Source organism: Homo sapiens, chromosome 11 (genome assembly GCF_000001405.40).
Source record: "Homo sapiens chromosome 11, GRCh38.p14 Primary Assembly".
Classification (NCBI taxonomy): Eukaryota; Metazoa; Chordata; class Mammalia; order Primates; family Hominidae; genus Homo; species Homo sapiens.
The window spans coordinates 26,187,364-26,213,587 of NC_000011.10; the positions used below are offsets into that span (position 1 = coordinate 26,187,364).

General features: G+C 36.0%; 1 protein-coding gene across 1 annotated transcript in view; it reads left to right on the forward strand.

Moving 5' to 3' along the window:
- The window catches only part of ANO3 (anoctamin 3), a 474,482-nt gene continuing 449,702 nt past the window's right edge, over positions 1,445–26,224 (forward strand). The window contains exon 1 of the mRNA NM_001313726.2: positions 1,445–1,967. Within this exon, the coding sequence (NP_001300655.1) occupies positions 1,814–1,967 (154 nt within the window). The 5' untranslated portion in view covers positions 1,445–1,813. The remainder of the gene's footprint in view (positions 1,968–26,224) is intronic.

Genomic DNA, 26,224 nt, shown 5'->3' on the forward strand with positions numbered 1-26,224 from the left:
GCCAAATCATATTTCTATGTTATCACATTCTATAAAGCATAATTTGAAAGAAAAAGCACTTCAAGATTTGGGCAAATGTACCAGAGGTATATAGAGTAGAAGTTTCCTGGTAGTTAAACCTCATTGACCAACTCGCAAATGAAACCATTTAGATTTCATCTTTCAGAAAGTGTCCTTGGCAATATTTCATAACAAATACTTCAGCTGAGAATTTTAAAGTCTATCTTTCCTGATTCTAGAATCTACTTTATTTCTGTAAACTTTGTTTGTACCTTTCACCATTTACTCATTTCCCTACATTTGTTTTCCTTTTAACTACCAACTGTCTTTTCCTCAAACTGAATTATCATTTATAATTTGGATCCTGCTTTCAACATCTTATCTAAGCAAAATGTCATATAATTACCAGTAGAACATGTCCATGTTAGCCTTTTTTAGTCAAAGATTTTCATGCCTGTTTCGAAATAGTGGTGGCCTAGGCTTGCACAACATACTTTGTTTGCTGTTCATGCTGTTGGAATGACAATCATTTCCCTGCCTGAGTGATAGTTTATGAAGGCACATAGAGCAAAGAGTCAGTTTCTTTACTCGTTTTTTTAATTATTGTAACTATGAGTAATACATGTCACCTTTTGTCCAGAATACATTTTATATTAACAACTGACTTGCAAACTTTATAAATATAAATATAAATATACATAAATGTATAAAATATATATTCCATAGTATATATCTATATATACACAAATACTCTTATAGGTACATGTATATGTATCTGTGTGTGTGTATGTGTATCTTTTTCAAAGAGTGCTGAGCCAAAAAAGTAAGAATGCTTTAAATATGCTGTTCAGCAAATTAATGAATAACTAATGGTTTAAAATGCACCATGAGGGAAATACCTGGACCTCATCTAGTATGGACCCCTAAACTAATGATAACTTTTACTAAATTAGTCTCTGACAAAACATCAGTGTGCACCTCTGGCAGTCTACAGCGGATGCATGGACTAAGGAGCAGTGCATGAATAAAGGTGAAATCTTACATTAAATTTTCTAAGGCAACCCATACAGCTATTTTACCTCTCAGTTAATTCAAGAATACCAGCTCCATCAGTTGCCAACTTTTTAGCAGTTTGCTCTTCTTATGGATCACCTGCTTGTATTGTGAAATCTCACGTTTTGTGTTTCTCAGGCTGTATATTTTATTTGACCACCATTTAAAAAGAAATCTTTTCTTTTCCACAATCACAGTCATGTTTTAATAAGCAGTAGGCTACAGTCTCACAATCTGCATCCAGGAAATATCTTTTAGTATTAACTTCCTTCCAATTAAAACATTCCTCTGATGAGCTGCCCAGTGGAATAAAGTTGCTCTCCCTGACAGTCTTTAGCCCCACCCAGCTGATCTCTTGCATACAGAAATATGAGTGAGAACTTCTAGTACCAGCTTACTAAAAGCATCTCTCTGCAGCCTTGCCTATGTCTTCACTTAGCCCATTTTACTTTTCACTGCAGCCTCTCTGAGATGGGATAGGTGCTGCTGTGGTTTAAAGGCAAAATATATCTTCAAGAAAAAAGACTCTAAAATTCATCCATCCTATTGAAGTTAATTGTCTAGGAAAGGCATTAACACAGAAAACCTCTTAGAGTCAGCTCTGCATGTTTTATTTCCTTTGGATTTCCAAGTGAAAATAATTACAGGAAAGCCTATAGTTATGACTGATTAGAATACTGTGATTTTTTTTCCTATCCCTTAATTTTAAAGAATTCAATAGTGTGAACTTTACTTTACATAGTTATATGGGAATTTTGCAATGTCAGTTTTAAAATTTGAACTGGATAATTTTTCTCCTGAAGGCTTCAGACATGAGCACGCTTCCAACTCATGTTTTGCTTTACCCTGTTTGACTGAACTCTCTGGTGATTCTAGTCAACTGGAACTTCAGCACTCCAGTTCTGTCCCGACTGGTAAGCTAACCTTTAGATTGATATGTATGAGTATCTTAACTTATGTTTGTACTTCTTTAATGTCTGATGTGTAATAAATAAATGTTGATGTCATCCATTTTCTGGTGGTATAGCTGATGCCAATTTTAGTTTCTTTAGTTTTTTCCCAAAATGTATAAATAGACTTTTGAAATAAAAAATAGAGGGCTGAAGTTTTTGTGCATAGAATTAAATGTCAGAAAACAAAGTCAGTAAACTCAGAAAAATGTTAATGATGTAATAGACTTTGTTCCTCTGAATGCTCAGGCCTATCAAGGCTTAGTTTTGTATGGCATGACCGATGAAATCAGGAATCTTAACCATAAACTGCAAAGAAAACACTTGCCATTTTAATTCATCTCTTTTATCTCTCATTCGTATGCACAATTATATAAAGGATAATATATTATTTATGTTCTCATTAAGAACAAGAGAATATTCATTTTAGTTATTTTATGATCTGATTTAGATTCTATATGAGCTGACAGTGTTAATATAATTAAATGTGAAGAATAATTTTAAACCTTTGAGTGTTACCTGCTTAGAATCTCACAGTTTTTGTTCTTGCTCTGCAGGTTTGAGGGAACAATACTATACACTAATAGTTTGCATTCATCAAAAAATTCTGAGGGTCTGATTTATAATGAATAGCTCTTATATGTCAACAGTGAATTAATTGTGCTTTGTAAAAAATGTTTGCCTGATGGATATTTTAAATGTTGTACTAAAGTAAAACAGCCATAATTTGTTTATCCTTCCTTATAAAATAAGGCGTTGTAATGGGAACGTAAAAGTTAAGCAAAGCTATTATAACTCTGGATATTGTTGGACACTGATCTTTGTCACATGAAAAATCTTGTAGAAATAATAAATTCCATTACACAACAAGAGGATTCTTCTAAGAATTTTGGCAAACTTCTTTATTATATAACCCCCAGTCAATCTCTGATTTATTGCTCATAGATTATTATGTATTATATGAGTTGTTTTACAGTATAAGAGTTCTTATACTGTAAACAGGAGATAAGACATTCTTTTATAAATTTTCATTCAACTATAAGAAAAAAATCTCTATGCTGTTATTTTGTCTTCTAAAATTGAGACTTACTAGATATTGAACCTAAAATTTCATAGAAGTAGGGAAATTAATTTTTTACAGATGTACATAGCTTTTTACAGTAGACTTGGTTAGAAAAATAGTTTAATAAAAAATTGATAGTTTAAATATTCATGTCTTTTTCACCATTTTTTTTGTCTTCTAGTCATTTCTGTCAGAGTTAGCACATCCATTCCATTAGATTCAACTATTGTCTTTATGCCGTTAGATTCAACTATTGTCTTTGTGCAGAGTTAGCACATCCATTCCATTAGATTCAACTATTGTCTTTATACACATCTATAGTGCAGGTATAATGTCATTTCCAGAGATGCATACTATGAACAGCCTAGAAGACACTTCCACCTTGCTATTCTGGCTATGCCTCAAACTCAACACATCCCAGTTGAAATCCCTTGAAATGCTTCCTCCTTTTTGCTTCCATATTTTTCTATGACTTCTAAGTAATCTCAATATTCCTTAACATTTATTGCAGTCGCATTTATGTGTTTATTTGTATGCATATTGGTTAATATCTATCTTCTCTACCTCTATCTCCACCATGACAGCCTCTGTACCCAATAGGATGTCTCACAATAAAACATTCTTAAAAATATATTTTCACTCTTCTAGACCAGCCTGACAAACATGAAGAAACCCTGTGTCTACTAAAAATACAAAATTAGCCAGGCGTGGTGGCACATGCCTGTAATCCCAGCTACTTGGGAGGCTGAGACAGGCGAGAATTGCTTGGACCCGGGAGGTGGAGGTTGTGGTGAGCTGAGATTGCGCCATTGCACGCCAGCCTGGGCAACAAGAGCAAAACTCCATCAAAAAAGAAAAAAAAACACATATATATATACACACACACACATATATATATACACACATACACACACACACACACACACACACACATATATATATTTGACTCACTGACTGACTGGCTGAGGAACTGAAACACCGCTCTCTTCATTTCCCTCAATGCAGACACCTGTATCGACTCCTAACTGATCTCACCTTCTCCAGATTTTTCATAACAAACCTCCTGCCCATGGATGGCTAGGAAATATTTCCCGAAGCACAACTCTCACCCATTTCCATCTTTGTTCACTATTTCAATGATTCTGTATAACCTGTGTTATAAACCTGGTGCTCTATGATTTAAGCTCTGTTTTTTTCCAAAACATTTCAAGCCCCATGTAACCTACACATATTCCACAAGTATAATTTACACTCTTTAATCACTGATAATATTCTTTCAAAATAATCTTCAATAATTATTTTCCTCTGCCTCCATTTATTATGATGTTGTTGAGATCAAATGCTCTCTTTTTCCGAAATGCATATGGCCATATCTCTGTGTAAAGGGATTTTTTTTCCTGTTGCCGAACATCTGTAGGTATTTGTCCTATATATGAAAATGTTTACATGTCAATTTCTATTATAACTATATAGTATGCCAATGACTTTTATTAGACTATGTTTCTTGAAGATAAGTATCACTACCCAATTGTTTGTGGCTTATGCATGATACACATATAAAAATTATGATTAAATAAATAACCAAATAACACATCATAGTATACTTTTTAAATGAGTTTTCTGCCATAAGGTATATTTGTTTAAGTCAAGTTATATATGTTCTGCATTAGATTTTCAAAGATATTGTGTGGAAATTATCACACAATTTGCCGCCTGATATCATCATTCAGGATAGTAACAATATGGAATTTGTCATTCATTTGAAACTTTATGGAACATTGAACTTTCCAGAATCTATTTTGTATGCTAGGAATTTTTACCTTATTTTTAATAGAGTCAAGTTTTATTTATTCATTCATAATGTATTTATTGCAGGCTTAGCACTGGGATTAGTGGTAGGGGTGTGTATATGAAAATGAGGTGATAGCCAAAGTAGAAGAGAGGTCTACCTTTTTAATCTCAGTGGTGTGGCAGTATGTTCTCAACATTCATGTACACATATTCCTAGCAGGGGAAAATAAAATATAACTGATGAAGGTTAGTCCATAGAAATTTAACCACGTATGTCTAAAAGGAAGTGTTCCATTGTTATCAAAAACAGTGTTTATACCTTTCATTTACATAGTAACTATTAGGTATCTCATAATACAGAATCTCAATCATTCTCACAAAATATCTATAAGGTAGTATTCATTCATCTTAAATTCCGTGCATTAGAAGGAGAGTCCAAAGCTCAAAGAAGTAATGTAATTGGATTAAAGTCACACATATAGTAAGTGTGTATGGGTGAGGGGGAGCAGGACAGCCGAGAGAGAGCTGAATTGGAGAGTTTTTAATCTGTTCTGTCTGTAACTTTACTGTTCTTTTTTCTCCCCAGTATTACTTGAAAATTAAGTTTAGAAATAGTCCAGTGAGGGAAATTGCCTCTTTGTGTTCCAGAGATTGATGTAATTAAAAATAAGTAATCAGTAACTAAAGTATAAATGTCTTTTTTTTATTATACTTTAAGTTCTGGATACATGTGCAGGACATGCAGGTTTGTAACATAGGTACATATGTGCCATGGTGGTTTGCTGCACCCATCAACCTGTCATCTAGGTTTTAAGCCCCGCATGCATTAGGTATTTGTCCTAATGCTCTCCCTGCCGTTGCCCCCCACCCCTCAAAGGCTGCTATTATTGATAGTGGGATTTTGATTTTGCCTATCTTTTTTTTTTTTTTTTTTTTTTGAGATGGAGTCTCACTCTTGTTGCCCAGGCTGGAGTGCAATGGCGCCATCTCGGCTCACCGCAACCTCCACCTCCCGGGTTCAAGCGATTATCCTGCCTCAGCCTCCAGAGTAGCTGGGATTGCAGGCATGCACCACCACGCCCGGCTAATTTTTGTATTTTTACTAGAGACTGGGTTTCTCTGTGTTAGTCATGCTGGTCTCAAACTCCTGACCTCAGGTGCCACCCGCCTCAGCCTCCCAAAGTGCTGGGATTACAGGCGTCAGCCACCACACCTGGCCCAATTTTGCCTATCTTTAGATGACCAATAAACTATCTGTGTTGTCCATGTTTGTATCTTACTTCCACATTCTCATGTTTCAGCTTTAATTTTGATTGCCCTTTACTTTTTCCTAGTCTATAATTTGAGATCTCAAAAGCAAATATACTTATTTATAGTCTCTGAAAATTCTACCCAGAAAGTTCTTCCTTCAGTATGAGCAGAAAGTATAAGCTAGAATGATAATCTGATATTTGATATTCTTATTTTTTTACAATTCATAAATAAATGCAAAAGTCTATGTCATTTATTTTTGTACTTTTCTGAGCTACATATAATAATTGAATACTTATAATAATTGAATACTGGTTGGGACAGAAGTAGAAGTTGCCTACCTAGGAATGCAACCTATCAGGTAATTCAGGATTCCCATGTAAATTAACATTTTTACTGTGTAAACTTTGCAGCAGATAATTACCTGGACTCTAGAGCCAGACTAGTATTGAGTTTGCTCTGCTACTAACTGCATGACTTCAGAAAGTTAAATGAATCACTCTGTGTTTCTGACTCCTCATATATATTAAGGGTGTAAAAAATCCCTACCTCATGGAGTATTTAAGAACATTAAATGATAGAATGTCAAAAACCATTTAGCACAATGCCTGCAACTAATATCTAGCATATGCTAACTATTATTCAAAATACACTAAGGAGGTGAGGTCACTTATTATAATGGTTTTCCAGAAGGTGATGATTAACCATGTGCTGGGGCTCACAATTTATATGAGGCAAATTGCAAAATCCTATGTAGTACAAACTGAGCTTCTCAAACTGACACAGTTATCCCCAGGAATATCTGACAGTGTGTATAAAATATATATCACACAGTGCAGGAGCATTTATGTTACTGATGAGTAATTTTATTCATTTTAACATTAAAGAAGGACTTGGTAGGAAGTGAAACAAATGTCATAATTCTTTTTCTAATTTTCAAAATTTTTCATCTTTGTGGGTACATAGTGGTGTGTGTGTGTGTGTGTGTGTGTGTGTGTGTGTGTGTGTGTGTGTGTATTATTTATTTATTTATTTATTTATTATTTGAGATGGAGTTTTGCTCTTGTTGCCCAGGCTGGAGTGCAATGGCATGATCTCAGCTCACTGCAATCTCTGCCTCCCGGGTGCAAGGAATTCTCCTGCCTCAGCCTCCCGAGTAGCTGGGATTATAGCCATGGGCCACTACGCTGGGCTAATTTTGTATTTTTAGTAGAAACGAGGTTTCTCCACGTTCAGGCTCATACCACCACACCTGGCTAATTTTTTGTATTTTTAGTAGAGATGGGATTTCACCATATTGGTCAAGCTGGTCTCAAACTCCTGACCTCAGGTGATCCACTAGCCTTGGCCTTGCAAAGTGCTGGGATTACAAGTGTGAGCCACCGTGTCCAGCCATGTATATATATTTATGTGTGTACATGACATATTTTGATACAGGCATACAATGCATAATAATCACATCATAGTAAAGAGATATCTCTCACCTCAAGCATTTATTCTTTCTTTGTGTTACAAACATTCCAATTGCATTCTGATGAAATGTCAGACTGCAAAGAAAAACTCCTTTTGACCTATAGATGTCTGTGGGCATTCCTGTTTTTCTACCAATAGAAGTATTTCTAAAAGAATGTATGTGAGGCAATGGAAAGAAAACAGAAAGGTGGTGGCTGCACGAGGACCTTGGTTTCTGTTGGCTACTAGGGTGTTGATGCCTGATGATGATAGTGGCATCACCATGGTCTTAATGAGGTCAGTAATTTGTCTTGAATTCAGTGTGGCTGTGTTAGCTTTAAGTATTAGCAACATGCAACAGTGTTCTGAAGATATCAGGAGTCCTTGTAAAGTAGCTGGAAATTTTACTTTACTTCAGTGGAAATTGGAAAAGGAAAATGAGGTTATGTATGTACCAGAAATTAAATTTCTCTATTTTGTTCCCAGTCCGGACAAAAAGGAGCCAGAAAAAAAGACTTCCTGCTTTCATAATTAAGAGTTAATGTAGCCTTTAGAAATGAGATGCCTTCTTTGAATTATGAATAATGCATTAAAGGAGGAAACGGAGAGAGTAACAATAACAATCATGCATTATCTAGACCAAAGTGACTAAGTTGTAGATGGGCATAGCTAAATTTATAAGCTTCTTTTATATGAGAATATGACAGTGAGGCCAAAAGAGTGGCTTGTCTCAGGTCACTCAGATAATTAGACATAAAGGTCAGCCTATAATTCTCTATATCCTGAATTGTTATACCCTTATGTGTCTTCTTACTCCCAAGGGTCATCATTACATAATATATGACTTGGACTTTGACATAGAACAACTACGAATGTAGCTCAGACACAGGAGATTTTAGAACTTGTGCAAGTTATTTAAAACTTCTCTCTGCCTATTCTCAGTGAGACACCTACTTTGTAGAGTTAACTGTGGAATTAAAAAAATGTGCGAAAAATACCTTGTGCAGGGAAGGGGCCTAGAATACACATTTAATGGGTGAGATGTTGCCCCATTTCTTTTTTTCCATTGTTCTGCCTATTTATCTTATTCTCTTGTGACTTCTCAACCTCCAGATTCCTGGGCCATTCATATGAGTTGCTATAAGGACAAGAGATACATATTGAATCTGAAAACCAAAAAAGTCTAACAAATACTCATATTACCCTGAGTTTTCTAGTTAATTCCTGCAACTACATGACTTTTAGACCAAACAAATGCTCTCGAGAGTGAATTGTGTTAATTGCAAAAAATACAAAGATCTGGGAGTCAGTCTAACCATCTTTAGTAATATAAGAATCCCCATCTCATCATTTCTTTATTTTCCTCTAACATTAAATAAATTATCTTTTTCTTCTATTTGTCCTGCAGATGTTTTCTTCAGAATTCTTATCTGATTCCACAGTAGATAAGCACAACTCAGCATTTTATAGTTCTTCTTTTCCACTGAATAATTGACTCTAGCTAGTGAAATTTCAGATTTCATGCTCCATTTTCAAGGCCATCATGAAGCCATTTCTCAAAGCAAAAGCATTTACAGAAGTAGTTAATTCTCCAGTAGAGCCAAGTAGTGGGTTTTGGAAATCATGGCTTCCACAAACAAATACTACATATTTTACAATTTCTGGTAAACACAAGGATGACCACAGAGAGCTTGGACATTTTTTCATCTTGTTTGGCTTTGAAAATCAAATAAAACTATTCTCAAAAATTCCCTCATATACTTTTATATGTATACTTCATAAGATTCATTAAAACAAAATAGAGCTTTATTAACTTCATAAAATACATACACAGTCACATAGATTTGAACTGAAATTGGCAATTTTATCACCAAAAAAGGTGAGCAGAATAAGAATTAGTGAAAGTTCCAGTGTATAAAATGTTCACTATTTGTAAGTCAACAGTATAATGTAGGACCTACCAAAATGCAAGACATTGTACAAGCATAAAAACTCATTAAGAGAGAATAAAACATAGCCCCTGATTTTAGTTAATATTAGAGAAGACATTCACTCATTACATTAGTACTTATAGAGTAGCTATATATGCTATGTGCTTTGACACACACACATGCATAACAGTGTATATGTGTAAGCACACTGCCTAAACTGGTAATAATATTATTCCAGGAATCACTGGCATACCCTGGCTCCTCCTCATCCATGGGTGTCCAGCAATAATTAACAGTCATTCTTTCAACCTTATCTTCATACTCTCATCTCACCTTGTAGAAGTCAGTATCAGTACCTTATGTGATAGATGGTTACAAAGAAGGAGAAGGCAACAGAAAACAAAAAAGATCCTACATGAGGAAGGTTCGCAATAGAAAACACTGTCTGTATTGAATGAAATTAAACTATATGGGTAGTTTAATATTTTTGTTTTTGTTTTTGTTTTTGTTTTGAGATGGAGTCTCACTCTGTCACCCAGGCTGGAGTGCAGTGGCGCAATCTCGGCTCACTGCAACCTCCACCTCCCAGGTTCAAGTGATTCTCCTGCCTCAGCCTCCTGAGTAGCTGGGACTACAGGCGCATGCCACCATGCCTGGCTAAGTTTTTTTTGTATTTTTAGTAGAGACGGGGTTTCACCATGTTAGCCAGGATGGTCTTGATCTCCTGACCTTGTGATCCTCCCGCCTCGGCCTCCCAAAGTGCTGGGATTAAAGGTGTGAGCCACCACACCAGGCCTAATATAGTTTAATTTCAGACTTTCATCTCCTAAAATGTAAGCTTTAGAAACGTCTCTTCCAGGGTTTACTTCATGGTCCTAAGTCATACTACCTCTTTATTCTTGTCAGCCTTCCCCTACCGCTTCTTTCTAATGAACACTTTTCTGAGCCCTGCCTTGGCCTCTGTTTTAATCCTCATCCACATTAGGCTTCTTTTCCCTAATGAATATAACATTTTTCTTAGGCTTCTTTTCCCTAATGAACATAACATTTTTCTTTTGCATCCTCTGACCCCATGGCATCTCACTCAAGCCCACCTGTGGAGCCCCTGTGCCTTCTCTGTGACTCCAGTCTCTTCAGTGCTGAAGATCTTCCTCAGGTTTTGGGAGCCATCAAAAATGGTGGTGAGTGAGGACCTCCTCCCATCACCCAGTTTCAGCAAGGCAAATGGTGGGTGGAAGCAGTATTCCCTCTCCACCATAAGAGGCACATGTTAGGGAGGACTAGGGGATTGAGGATGGTTCTGGAAGTCAAATTAAAATGTTAATGTTGTACCTGAGTCACACAATGAATTAATTAAATTCATTTCCTGGAATTTGGATTAAATTCATATTCAGGAAATGAATTAAATTCATATCCTGGATATTGTCACTCTGTATTATCCTGTTTCTAAGTGGAAATTTTTTCCATCTTCCATGCTATGGACTTCTGAATTTACCTCTTGTAGCACCCATGAGCTGTTTGTAACTCCGGAATGGTCATTTAAGGGAGAAATGAGGTAGCTATTCATTATAGTGTATGCTGAAGGAAAAATAAATGATAAAGTAGAAGCGTTCTGGCCTTTTGGTAGAATAGATAAATATGGTCCAAAGAAGATAGAAACGGAAAGAAATTATAAAGAAAGACAGACTTTTATAAAGAAAGGAGGAGGGCATTCCTGGAGAATGAAATGACAAGAACAAAGAGCATGTTATCACAAAGCATTCATTCGTGTGTTTGTCAGTTTATTTTTTGCCATCCCTGCATACATACCTTTCTTTCCAGTATGAATATTCTAATGTTCTCTTGGAAAGTTATCCCTTTTCCAAGGGATATCCTGTGGCTATGGAAGTTGTTGACATAGTTTATGCCCCATATTTAAGCTACGCCTGAAGCCATTCTGCCTTCCAATGCAGACTTCCAACTTACTGGCTTATCGTTGAGCCAGTACGTTTCTTAATGTTTATGCCTAATTTGAGTTGACACTTCTGTCACTTGCAACAGTAAGAGTTCTCAGTGACAGATGTGATAATGAATTTCCAGTTTTTGTGGATGGCAGCAAGATCTACCTGGCTCATACAAAAGATGCATGTTCTAAAGTAGTGGGAGGTTAAGTCAAATGTGGATAGAAAAGCAAACCTCAAATCCTAATTAATAGCATTGGCCAGTAGCCTTGATAGTTATCTTACTATTTCTGGGAGATCAATTTTAGGTTTCCACTTTTTTTTTTTTCCTGTTCAAGGCCTGGTAACATTAATCTGTGCCCGCAGTCAAGCAGTCACTCATCATTTATGGAAATCTAACAAACTGTGGCCTTGACCTCTGCTCTCAAGGTTCCTGACTCCATATCCTTTTGCAGCTAAAATAGATGGAAACTGAGCCTCATATAGAAATTTAATGGGTCCCTAAGGCAACATTTTACTTTTCTCTTCCTCCTACTAAAGAGAAAATTTTATTTAATTTGTAGGGGGAGGAGGAGCTGCTTAATCTTGGGCTGTTTACAGAAACTCCTCCAGGGGTCTCAGATTGGCCAAGCCTGTCTGATTCAGTTCTATTTCAGGGCAGAATTCACGTGGGTCTTTTATGTTCCTGTTTGTGATTTCATGCAGGGATGGGACACAGGAATAAATTTATACTTGTATAACCACTGAGATATGTCATATTTAACCATCTGGTTAGGAACTGGGCCAAAGATTCTTTTACACTCTGAGAAACTGGCTATGGAAGTTGTTGATATTAATGACTATCCTTTTCTTCTGTATTTTCAGGTTACTTAAGGGGCAAATGCCCATGGATTTTTATCTTCCTTAGTATGAGGAAACATTTTCTTCAGTGGATGGTTTTAGGTTAAAATACATAAGGCCTACCTTGGCAGTTGCAGCATATAACTACATCAGTGCTCATCGTCTTCCTTATGGAAACAGTGGCCATGTTTTTTGTTTCATTTTGTTTTGTTTTAAGAAACCTTCCTTTGTCTCTTTCTCAATTGTAATGTTAGTAGATAAAACCACAGTGTCTGGGAGTTAGCCTGACTAATTTATGACCATACAGTATGTTATAGATTTAGAAGGGAGCCTAAGTTTATCCAATCAGAGTGAACTTTAAGGCTTTAGTTGGTAATTCTGGACTTACTTTCTGGGCTTGGAAAGACTATGAGGCTTCGAACTGAAACTTGACGCAGTCATGAGGAGAGAGCCTGGTATTGTCAAAAATGACCTGGGGAGCCTGAAAATGAAGAAAACCCAAAAGAAACAGAGCCGAGATTGCTTTTACTGTAATGTTGGAGCATAAATCAGGCTCTGCCCGAAGCTAACCTGAACTAGGAGCTCATAAAAATTTAGTTCATTTTATTTGCTTAAACCAATTTATATCAAGACATGTAGCTATTTGTAGTTTGGTAACATAGGAAATATTTTCTCCTTCTGCCTCTTCTCTTAGAACACTTTCCTTTTCTTCAAAATTTCTCTCAAATATTGTCTCATCTGTGAGGCTTTCTTTGGCACAGGTGTATAGTTGGTCACTCTATTATAATCTTTATCATATGCTATGTCTGCTTATCTGTATCTTGTGTTGTAAATTACTACAATTTGTTGTAATATATTTATTTAGCACCTCTTCTGTGCCACACTGGGTTAAGCTTTAGAGATTTGATGCTGAACAAGGCCAACGTGGTTTATGCCCTATGTGTACTATTTTAACTGATAGGTTATTGATAATTAGAGATATGATGTGTTTCAGCAAAAGGAAGATACAGAGAACCAGGGCAGCCATGCAAGAGGAATATTACAAACAAAATATTACATGTATGATATATCTTGGGGTTAGCAAAAGAAAGTTGCATAATACTAAATGTGATCATTCCTAGAGAGTATTGTCCTCTTGGTAATAGTGTTTCATTTGCTTTGTTTTAATCACTGGGAGCTGTTTTAATTACTTGTATATAACAGAAATTTTTAAAAAATTATTGAATTTGTACATGATTCAAAACATATTTACCTCTGAACCTTCCTTGATTAACACCCCTCCACAAAAATCTTTCCTGCTTTAAATTCTCAAAGTTTAATTTTTATTGAATATCCACATTGCCTTTATTTTATTTACTTACATTTAGAGAGTTGATGCTTGGCATTAATAAGCCTTATATCTAAGATCTTCAAAGATGTCCAAAATCACAAATGCAGAAATTTTACCAAAGCTGGCACATTCTCCCTGAATCACAGTTTCACCAAAAGTCACATATATAAGCACCATGTGCCCACAGCACAAGCTTAACATCTTTTCAGTATTCACCAACATTTTATCTTCTATGCTGTAAAAGTACAACATTGACTAGAGCACTCAGTGAAAAAAGGAAAATACGTTTTCTGATTTTCATACACCCCATATTATGGGTTTCGTTCAAATGGTAGGCCAACACTGAGTTTAACAATTCACTCTTGAGAATATCTAAAACTTTTATATTCAAGATAAGAACCAAGAATTCATTTTATCATACCTATTGACTTTGTATTTCCTTCTTCTAAACCAGTTTCTTCAGGTAGATTTTATTCTGCCTTATGCCAGGGATATTTTTTTCCAAATAAAAGTCGGCATATGTGACTTTACAAGAGCTACCATTTACTCAAATTACAAATAGAGAAAAGATGAGAAGAGATAAACATATGAAGAGCTGACTGACTCTGACTTCGATCAAAAGCTAAGTGACTCATACTACTTAACTTTGTGACTTAATAAATAACAAGTGAATCATAAGTGGATTTGCAATATGTTCAAGAATATAGAAACCCTGAATACTAAGCTCATGAATGTCATGATAGTGGAGTAGTAATATGTTTCATTCAATAGACTATAAGTTATTTGAAGGAAGTTTTGTTTTTTTTTTTTTTTAACATTCAAGCTATGTGAATAAAGCACTGACTCTTTCTTGGTCTCAGTTTTTCATCTGTAGAAGAGGTGTAAGATTTTCAATTTTTATTACTATCCCTGAGAGCCTGCCAGTTCTGAACATATAGCTATCAAATGGAAGCTTGATTGCCAGTAAAAACCTATTACAGTTGTAATGATTTTAGGCAGAATATTTACATTTACACTTACGATATCTGTTACTTATTTATTCATTTGCAGAAAGGTCAGTTTAAATTTGAGATACAGCTTGCATTGGAAAAAAAAGTGAAGCAAACTGATCCCCTGGAGATTGGGTTCAAGATATTAATTAGTTAGGTTTAGGGTAGGACTGTCATATACTAAAATTTCTTAAAAATATTTTATACAAAATTTCTAACTGACCTCACATAATCTTTTAAGTTATATTATTTCCAAAATGTCATTCCTTTTATATTTATATATATAAATATATATTATATTATATATTAATATCTATATAATATATATTATATATAATATAGATACATATTATATATATCATATAGATACATATGATATATATAATATAGATTATTATATATATTATATATGTGTATTTTATATATATATCTTAAGAATCCTACATGATGGATCTTATTCAATGAAACAAATTAGGCACAGTCTAGTGGGAAGACAGCCACTTAAATCTTTTCTTTTTTTAAGGCAACATTATTTGTGCTATAGTAAATTTGTGAATGATGTGTTGTGGAAACACAGGGCGGGTAATTAAATTCTGCAAGATGGGTAGGAAAGAAGCTGTAGAGAAAGTATACAGTGGAGGGGACATTTGAACAGAAACCTTATGAATGAAATTTCTGTATAAAGTTAAAATATAAAGGGGAAAATGAAGTCCAGGTAAAGGGAATGTCATGGTCAACCACACGAAGGCATGAGAAAGCAACACACAGTTGAGGAAAAAAAAAATCAGTGTTTAATGCCAACCCAGAAACCATCAGAAATAGTCAATCATTCCTCTGGATGTCTAGAATTTTCAAAATATATTTAGGAGAATAGTTTATTTATGATTATCTTAGGCTAACTCCCTTCAACACACTCTACATTCTTCAAAGCAGGGATCATTTCTGATTTACCAAGCGTAACACCTGGCCATAGTAGCTGTTCAACAGACAGTCGTTAAATGAGTACTAATGGAGCTGGACTTTGGGTTGTGTGAGACAGAGATGGAAAACAAGAAGGTTACATTGAGCCAATTTGTAATAGGATTTAAACATAAGACAAGCAGTTTAGCCTTTATTCCTCTAGTGAAGACATGCCACCAAGGGTGTCTAATTAGGATAGTGACATGGTTCAAGCTGTGCTATTGATAGTTTCAAAAGAAGAAATCTTCCTTCCCTGCTCTTGAAATATAACACAGGTCAATTTTGCTTATTTTGCCAATCACATTCAAGTTTATAAAAGTCACTTTGAAGATTAGAAAGTACAGAAATAATATGATTTTAAAACTTTAAACTTTCATACAATTCAAAATTTAGGAGAGGCAACATTGTACGCTACCTTTTTAGTGCTTTTTCCAAATTGGGTCCAAGAATTAAATTAGCATAAGGTAGAGCAACAGGAGGAAGGCATAAAATTCATTGAATGCAAGTTTTACATGGCACAGGAGCCTTTATAAAGAGATAAAGACTCAAAGATGCAGTTGGAGTTGAAAACCGATATACTGAATTACACAAAGATCAATAAACTATGAAAATGTGACAAGGCAAAGGGGCTTGGGCTATAGTCATTGATTTGGGGGAGAGGTGGCTAGAAGGATAAGTGTTCATCTAACAATGGTTGTTTGTACAGATTACTTTTGGCCTCAACTTCCTGTCTTTGATGACACTTTTCTTCTAGTATAGGAAGCACATCATTCACATGTGAGTTTTATCTCCCGCTTTTAGGAAACTGAAGGTCAGAGTTATAATCTTGCATCTACTGTTTGTCATGTGCCTTTAACTAAAAATAGTTAATATGCCAGGGTGGTATATTTTGGAGTGGCACAGTCTTAACTCCTACAAAAGTTTCTCTCATCTTCTCTTCTTGGGACTGGAAACAGCAGAACAACAGCAATGGACAAGAGGGAAGGGGTATAATGTGACCTGGTTATTCACCATTTCTTCACTTGCTTTTCCACTCTTTCTCTCACAGTTTTTACAACATGTGGATTATTCCAGAGCTGGTAGAGGATGAGAGGAAGAACATAAAGGTGTCATATGACTAGTACTATTGTAATCTGACCTTTGAGTGCCCAAATGCCATCTTTTTCTTATGGAATGGTTTTTTTAGTGTTTTCTGGAGACTTTCCCTGATCAAAACCTCTACACCCCCTCTGGGGAGCTTGGGGAGTTCCTATACCGCATTCCCTGGGAGGCTGCTTACACTCAGAACTTGCAATTCACACACACCCCTTATTATAGAGTTTTATTTACCTTGGCAGGCACTCTTCTTAAGTAGGTCCCTTTCAATATGTCTGGAGTTCATTTACCTTTCTAAGTACCCACTTATCCCCCAGGACAACACAGTAGTAATACCTGCAACACATTCTAGAAGGGCAAGGAGCTAAGTAGCTACTCTTCAGCTCTCTCCTTGCTTCATCATGAGGACACCTCCAACTCTGTCCTTCCAAACTTTCAAGGAAAAAGTAGGCGTGGATATCTATGCTATGGGAACTCCAGGAAATACAGGTCAATTTTCCCTGAGAATAATTTTTTCACTTATCACTCTGGTTCTTTGGAAGCCCTAAGAACCTTTCATTTTTGTAGTTCACATGCGCATGGGTGAGAATCCCATCCTCCTCCTTGCAGTCACACTCACTCTCTGGAGTAGTTTTCCTGATGCTGCTCTTATTTGGTTTGAGATAGGGGAGTTGTACACTGAGAGAGGTGTATGGCGTATACAGCAGGCCACACTTTTCTTATAGCAGTTCTTATTCTTCCCTTTTATCTCCCATATTATCTGATAGCTGCAATGAAGCTGCAAGATGTGCTAAGGGAATCAGATGTGTGCTTCATGTTCTATAAATGTGCCTAGCACCTTTCTTTAGAATGTGGGAATAATTTGTACCTTGTGTTAATCTGTTCTCATACTGCTATGGAGAAATACTCGAGACTGGGTAATTTATAAAGGAAAGAGGTTTAATTGACTCACTGTTTTGCATGGCTGGAAAGGCCTCAGGAAACTTACAATCATGGCAAAAGAGGAACCAAACGAGTCCTTCCTCACAAGGTGGTAAAAGAAGTACCAAGCAAAGGGGGAAGCCCCTTATAAAACAATCATATCTCATGAGAACTCACTCACTATCACGAGAACAGCATGGGAAAAACCACCCCTATGATTTAATTATCTCCACCTGGTCCTGCCCTTAACAAGTGGGAATTATTACGATTCAAGGTGAGATTTTGGTGGGGACACAGAGCCGAACCATACTGTTTGCAACTTTGGGCATCTTTCTAAACTGGAGAAGAGAGAAAATCCTCATTTGCATCCTGTTAGACATTGTACAGCTTATTTAATACTCACACTGGTCCTAAGAGTTAGGTATCATTATTCCCATTTTACAAATGTGGAAATTGATGCAGAGCACATAATCTATCCTAGTGGCAGAATTCAACTATAAACCTGAGTGTGTCTCATTATAAAGTCCAACACAATTCTGCTCAGTTCTGAAATGTTTGATCAAGAAGCCTACTGACAGAGTAGATAATAATTTGGGACTAAAAGGTCATTGTCTGAACAATGGATATTTTGATGTATGGTCAGCTTTGGCCAGAGCAGTCACTCTATTCTAGCAGTCACCTTATTCCAGAAGGTTCCTCCGAAAACCTGGGGAACTTATGGCCTTCACTATCAAGCTGTTTTGAATATACCTGGCTTTTAAGCATAAGACCCAATCATCCTCATAAACGGTATACTGTATAGTCATATTTCCAAGTAAAATGGCAGTTGAATGAAAGCTACTAATCCATGCCCAAGCTTAGGCATTGTCTAAGTCCCGAGCTAAAGCTTAAGTTTCATGAGTGTCCTCTAATGGTCTTTTTATACCGGCACATGTTAAAAGAAAATACAAAAGCCTTTTAAGAAAAACTGAGATACCTCTATACATGCAAAGGGTAGAGACAGCAAGAAACATCGGCAGCCAACAACAGTGTATTGTTGCAGTTTCTCAATTATAATTCAAATTTTATGCTTTAAGTTTTTATTGAATATATCATAGAAGCTTACAAATATGCTATTTCTGGTTGCAGTAAAGAATTTATCAAACAGGATTTTATTGCAGATTTTGAAATTTGATTTTATTAGTGATTTGGAACTATTTAAATACAGGTTTATGTGGATGCAATACTTGTTCAATTTCTAAATTACTAATTTGAGCATTTAGTTGACATCATTTAAATTTTACATATGTGTGTAGCATCCAGTTTATACTCAAAATTTTACCTTTCCCTGATCTCCAAACATGAGTTAATCCAACCATCTTCAAATGCAAACATTATATTGTTTGAAGTACTACATGGTTATAATTATTCTTCTCAAAAAATCAGAAATCTGCCATGTGTAAATAAACTTGCTATGTGTTTCTGAGTAAACTTATTTTCTTTATCTCTGTTTTCATAACTACTATTAAAATAGCACTTATATTATTTCCTTCCTAGACAATGTCAAAAAATTAGCTTCTATTTTAATAAGAACTAATATCTTCAAGGAAAAGACAAGGTGGTGTAGGGAGGACATCAGTATAATTATTACTTCACAAATGAAAATTATTTTAAGTCTGTGATACAAAGCTATTTCAGAAACTGCAGAGAAAAACATGTACAAGGACAAATTAATCAGAGTATTCTCAATCAAAATGGTATAGCTCAAAGTTAATAAGTTATTTATTCTCATTTAGGGAATATTACTGAAGTTTTGGCATGCAATAAGTGCACTGAAACATTAAGCTGGTCATTGAGCAGATGAATGAACATTCCAGCAAGGAGCATTTTAGTGTCACACTACATTTTTGCTTCACTAATTTAAAAACTGCGCCGTTTCAGTTTATTATAGGTAATTTCTAAAATAAGTCAAGTTAATAGGAAATGTAGTACCCAGAGAAATCACCCAACAGGGATTAAGGGTTTTTAAAAAGTGAAGCTTAATTTAAAAGTATGAAGGGCAAATATTACGTGATATCATTTGTATGAGGGATCTAAAACAGTTAGAGCAGGGTGGTGGTTTCCAAGATCTCGGGGAAGTAAAAAATGGGAAGGGATTAGTCAAAGGATACGAAGTTTCAGTTGTGCCAGATGAGTAAGTCCTAAAGATCTACTGTACAGCACAGCGTCTCTAGCTAATAAGACTATATTGCATACGTAAAAATTTGCTAATAGGGTATATCTTATGTTAAGTGTTCTTGTAACAAATAGTAATCAATAAAGAAGGCAGGAGAAAAAGTAAATAAATAAGTAAAAGTATAAATGGCTTACAAAAAATCAGTTTCTTAAATGCATAGTTAATATTCTAGGTGTTTGTGTGTTTGCTTTTTAGAAGTCTGAAAGCAAAAGCTCAGCCATAACTCTTTTCTGTACTTACGGTCCAATTGCCTCATTACGTGTTAAGATACGGGTTTGCATTCACATATTTCTACTAAGCATCTTGCATGAACAAATACCTTCAACTTCTTCACCCTTTCAAACAATCTCCACCTTTAATAATGATAATAATAATTACTCATTAAGTACTTATTCAGTACGAGGTACTATTCTGCATGCTTTTATAATTTATTTAATCCTCGTAACGACCAAATGAGAAAGGCACTCTAATTAAAAAAAGAAACTGAGGCACAGATATATTAACAAGATCACACAATTTGTAAATGGTAGAGCAAAGTGGGATTTTTAAAAATGGATAATGCTCTTAAGACCTAACTAGATTACAGTAAAACTGACCGTAGTACATTTTCTTTTTAATACGTTTTGTAATAGGACAACATTGAAATCTCTGCAAATGAATGATGCTAAAATCCTTTAAAATAGTATGTAAGATTGAAGGCATATTTTCAGTAATGCTACTTAACAAAATAGGAGGATTTATATAATAAATATTGTCAGTTACTTCAGGCTGCTATAAGAAAATATCATAAACTCTGTGGCTTATAACAACAGAAATTCTCACAGTTCTGGAGGGTGGAAAGTTCAAGATCATGGTACTAAGAGATTCAGTGTCTAATAAGGGCCCATTTTCTTATTCATAGATGACCCTTCTTGCTGTGTCCTCACATGATGGAAGAAGTGAGAAGTCTTTCTTGAATCTCATCTATAAAAGCAATTAGTCTATTCGTGAGATCTCTGCCCCCATGACCTAATCACATGCCAAAGCCCCCACCTCCAGACACTATCACCTCGGGGGTTAGGATTTCAATATAAGAATTGGGAGTGGGCCGGGCACTGTGGCTCACACCTGTAATCCCAGCACTTTGGGAGGCCTAGGCGGGAGGATCACGAGGTCAGGAGATCGAGACCATCCTGGCTAACACTGTGACACCCCATCTCTACCAAAAAATACAAAAAAAATAGCCGGGCGTGGTGGCAGGCGCCTGTAGTCCCAGCTACTCCAGAGGCTGAGGCAGGAGAATGGCGTGAACCCGGGAGGCGGGGCTTGCAGTGAGCCAAGATCACACCACTGCACTCCAGCCTGGGTGACAGAGCAAGACTCCGTCTCAAAAAAAAAAAAAAAGGAATTGCAGGTGGACACAAACATTCAGACCATAGCAAATATCAAGGCTTTTGCACTTTACTTGCTGAACACTGAGAATGGAGGCTCTCCAAAGATAGCCACACTCTGTGGATCATTTAACCTCAGGGAATTGAATGATTCATGAAATACTAAAATTAATATCAAAACAAAATATGTCCATATATTCTGAAAATATTTTTAGCCCTCATTGACAGAAAAAGAAAATAAAAAACCTAGACTGCTCAAAGAAACTTTTTAATGATGATTTTGATAAATATTTTTTAAAGTTTTGTACTAACATTTGTTGAGTTTTGAAGACATAAATATATTTTTTAAACTGAAGGCAGATAGCAGATCATATGATCCTGGAAATGTAAGATGTAACTGTGTGGGAAATAGTCTTAAGAGTGCTCTTCCTGTAAATGAAAAAGCTAACTTCAAGGTGAACATAAGAAGAAGTCAAGTTTTCTCATTTTTTAAAATTATACTTAAAGTTCTGGGTTACATGTGCAGAATGTGTAGGTTTGTTACATAGGTATACACGTGCCATGGTGGTTTGCTGCACTCATCAACCCATCACCTACATTAGGTATTTCTCCTAATGCTATCCCTCCCCTAGCCTGCTACCCCTTGACAGGCCCCAGTGCATAATATTCCTCTCCCTGTGTCCATGTATTCTCATTGTTCAACTCCCAATATCAGTGAGAACATGCAGAGTTTGGTTTTCTGTTCCTGTGTTAGTTTGCTGAGAATGATGGTTTCCAGCTTCATCCATGTGCCTGCAAAAGACATGAACTCATCTTTTTTATGGCTGCAAAGTATTCCATTTTGTATATGTGCCACATTTTCTTTATTCAGTCTATCACTGATGGACATTTGGGTTGGTTCCAAGTCTTTGCTATTGTGAACAGTGCTGCAATAAACATATGTGTGCATGTGTCTTTATAGTAGAATGATTTATGATCCTTTGGGTATATACCCAGTAATGGGATTGCTCGGTCAAATGTTATTTCTGGTTCTAGATCCTTCAGGAATTGCCACACTGTCTTCCACAATGGTTGAACTAATTTACAATCCTATCAACAGTGTAAAAGCGTTCCTATTTCTCATCTTCTCCAACATCTGTTTATTCCTGACTTTTGAATGATCACCATTCTAACTGGTGTGAGATGGTATCTCATTGTGGTTTTGATTTGCATTTCTCTAATGGCCAGAGATGATGAGCTTTTTTTCGTGTTTGTTGGCCACATAAATATCTTCTTTTGATAAGTGTCTGTTCATATCCTTTGCCCACTTTTGGATGGGGCTGTTTGCTTTTTCTTGTAAATTTGTTTAAGTTCTTTGTAGATTCTGGATATTAGACTTTGTCAGATGGATAGACTGCAAACATTTGCTCCCATTCTGTAGGTTGCCTGTTCACTCATGGTAGTTTCTTTTGCTGTGCAGAAGCTCTTTAGTTTAATTAGATATCATTTGTCAATTTTGGCTTTTGTTGCAATCGCTTTTGGTGTTTTAGTCATGAATTCTTTGCCCATGCCTATGTCCTGAATGGTATTGACTAGGTTTTCTGCTATGGTTTTTATGGTTTTAGGTCTTATGTTTAAGCCTTTCATCTATCTTGAGTTAATTTTTGTATAAGGTGTAAGGAAGGGGTCCAATTTCATTTCTCTGCATATGGCTAGCCAGTTTTCCCAACACTATTTATTAAATAAGGAATCCTTCCCATTGCTTGGTTTTGTCAGGTTTGTCAAAGATCAGATGGTTGTAGATGTGTGACATTATTTCTGAGGCCTCTGTTCTGTTCCACTGGACTATGTATCTGTGTTCATAACAGTACCATCCTGTTTTGGTTACTGTAGCCTTGTAGTATAGTTTGAAGTCAGGTAGCATGATGTCTCCAGCTTTGTTCTTTTTACTTAGAATTGTCTTGGCTATATGGGCTCTTTTTGGTTCCATATAAAATTTAAAGTAGCTTTTTCCAATTCTGTGAAGAAAGTGAATGGCAGCTTCATGAAGATAGCATTGAATCTGTAAATTACTTTGGGCAGTATGGCCATTTTCATGACATTGGTTCTTCCTATCCATGAGCATGGAATGTTTTTGCATTTGTTTGTGTCCTCTCTTATTTCCTTGAGCAGTGGTTTGTAGTTCTCCTTGAAGAAGTCCTCCACATCCCTTGTAAGTTGTATTCCTAGGTATTTTATTCTCTTGTAGCAATTGTAAATGGGAGTTCCCTCATGATTTGGTTCTCTGTTTGTCTATTATTGGTGTATAGGAATGCTTGTGATTTTTGCGCATTGATTTTGTATCCTGAGAATTTGCTGAAGTTGTTTATCAGCTTAAGGAGATTTGGGGCTGAAACTCCCACATAATAATAGTGGGAGTCTTTAACACCCCACTGTCAATATTAGACAGATCAACAAGACAGAAAATTAACAAGGATATTCAGGACTTGAACTCAGCCCTGGACCAAGTGTATCTAATAGACATCGACACAACTCTCCACCCCAAATCAATGGAATATACATTCTTCTCAGCACCACATCACACTTATTCTAAAATTGACCACATAATTGGAAGTAAAACACTCCTCAGCAAATGCAAAAGAATGGAAATCATAAGAAACAGTCTCTTAGAACACAGTGCAATCAAAATAGAACTCAGGATGAAGAAACCCACTCAAAACTGCACGACTACATGGAAATTGAACAACATGCTCCTGAACAACTACTGGGTAAATAACGAAATTAAGGCAGAAATAAATAAGTTCTTTGAAAATAATGAGAACAAAGACACATTGTACCTGAATCTCTGGGACACAGCTAATGCCGTGTTTAGAGGGAAATTTATAGCATTAAATTCCCACAGGAGAAAGGGAAACAGATCTAAAATCGACATCCTAACATTTATGTGGCCAATGAACATATGAAAAAATGTTCATGATTACTGATCACTACAGACATGCAAATCAAACCACAATGAGATACCATCTCACACCAGTTAGAATGGCAATCATTAAAACATCAGAAAACAACAGATGCTGGAGCGGATGTGGAGAAATAGGAATGCTTTTACAATGTTGGTGGGCGTGTAAATTAGTTCAACCATTGTAGAAGACAGTTTGGCAATTTCTCAAGGATCTAGAACTAGAAATACAATTTGACCAAGCAATCCCATTACTGGATATATACCCAGAGGATTATAAATCATTCTAGTATAAAGACACTATAACATGTTTGTTTATTGCGGCACTATTCACAATAGCAAAGACTTGGAACAAACCCAAATGTCCATCAATTATAGACTGGATAAAGAAAATGTGGCACATATACACCATGGAATACTATGCAGCCATTAAAAAGAATGAGTTCACCTTTGCAGGGACATAGATGAAGCTGGAAATCATCATTCTCAGTAAACTAACACAGGAACAGAAAACCAAACACTGCATGTTCTCACTGATAAGTGGGAGTTGAACAATGAGAACACATAGACACAGGGAGGGGAATATCACACACTGGGGCCTGTCAGGTGGTGGGGGGATAGGGAAGGGATAGTATTAGGAGAAATACCTAATGTAGGTGACAGGTTGATGGGTGCAGCAAACCACAATGGCACGTGTATACCTATGTAACAAAACTGCACATTCTGCACATATACCTCAAAACTTAAAAGAAAAAAGTATATATTAAAAAAAGAACTAGAAAAGCAAGAGAAAAGAAATTCAAAAGCTACCAGGAGACAGGAAATAACTAAGATCAGAGTAGAACTGAAGGAGGTGGAGACATGAAAAACCCTTCAAAAAATCAACGAATCCAGGAGCTGTTTTTTTTTCAAAGATTAACAAAACAGACTGCGAGCCAGAATAATAAAGAAGAAAAGAAAGAAGAATTGAATAGATACAATAAAAATGATAAAGGGGATATCACCACTGATACCATTGAAATACAAACTACCATCAGAGAATACTATAAATACCTCTATGCAAATAAACTAGAAAATTTAGAATAAATGGATAAATTTCTGGACACATACACCCTCCCAAGACTAAACCAGGAAGAAGCTGAATCCCTGAATAGATCAATAACAAATTCTGAAATTGAATCAGTAATTAGTAGCCTACCAACCAAAAAAAGCCCAGGACCAGACAGATTGACAGCCAAATTCTTCCAGAGGTACAAAAAGGAGCTGGTACCATTCCTTCTGATACTATTCTAAACAATAGAAAAAGAGGGACTCCTCCCTCTTTTTATGAGGCCAGCATCATCCTAATGCCAAAAGCTGGCAAAGACACAACAAAAAAATGTAAATTTCAGGCCAATATCCCTGATGAACATTAATGCAGAAATCCTCAATAAAATCTTGGCGAATCAAATCTAGCAGCACATCAAAAAGCTCATCCACCATGATCAAGTCAGCTTCATCCCTGGGATGCAAGACTGGTTCAACATATGCAAATCAATAAACGTAATCCATCACATAAACAGAACCAACGACAAAAACCACCTGATTATCTCAATAGATGCAGAAAAGGCCTTTGACAAAATTTAACACCCCTTCATGTTAAAAACTCCTAATAAACTGTGTATTGATGAAACGTTATCTCAAAATAATAAGAGCTATTTATGACAAAGCCACAGCCAGTATCATACTAAATGGGCACAAGCTGGAAACATTACCTTTGAAAACAGGCACAAGACAAGGATGCCCTTTCTCCACTCCTATTCAACATAGTATTGGAAGTTTTGGCCAGGGAAATCAGGCAAGAGACATAAATAAACGGTATTCAAATAGGAAGAGAGGAAGTAAAATTGTCTGTGTTTGCAGATGACATGATTGTATATTTAGAAGCCCCATCATCTCAGCCCAAAATCTCCTTAAGCTGAAAAGCAACTTCAGCAGTCTCAGGATACAAAATCAATGGGCAAAAAGCAAAAGCATTCTTATACACCAATAACAGACAAACAGAGAGCCAAATCACAAGTGAACTTCCATTCACAATTGCTACAAGAGAATAAAGTACTTAGAAATACAACTTACAAGGGATGTGAAGGATGTCT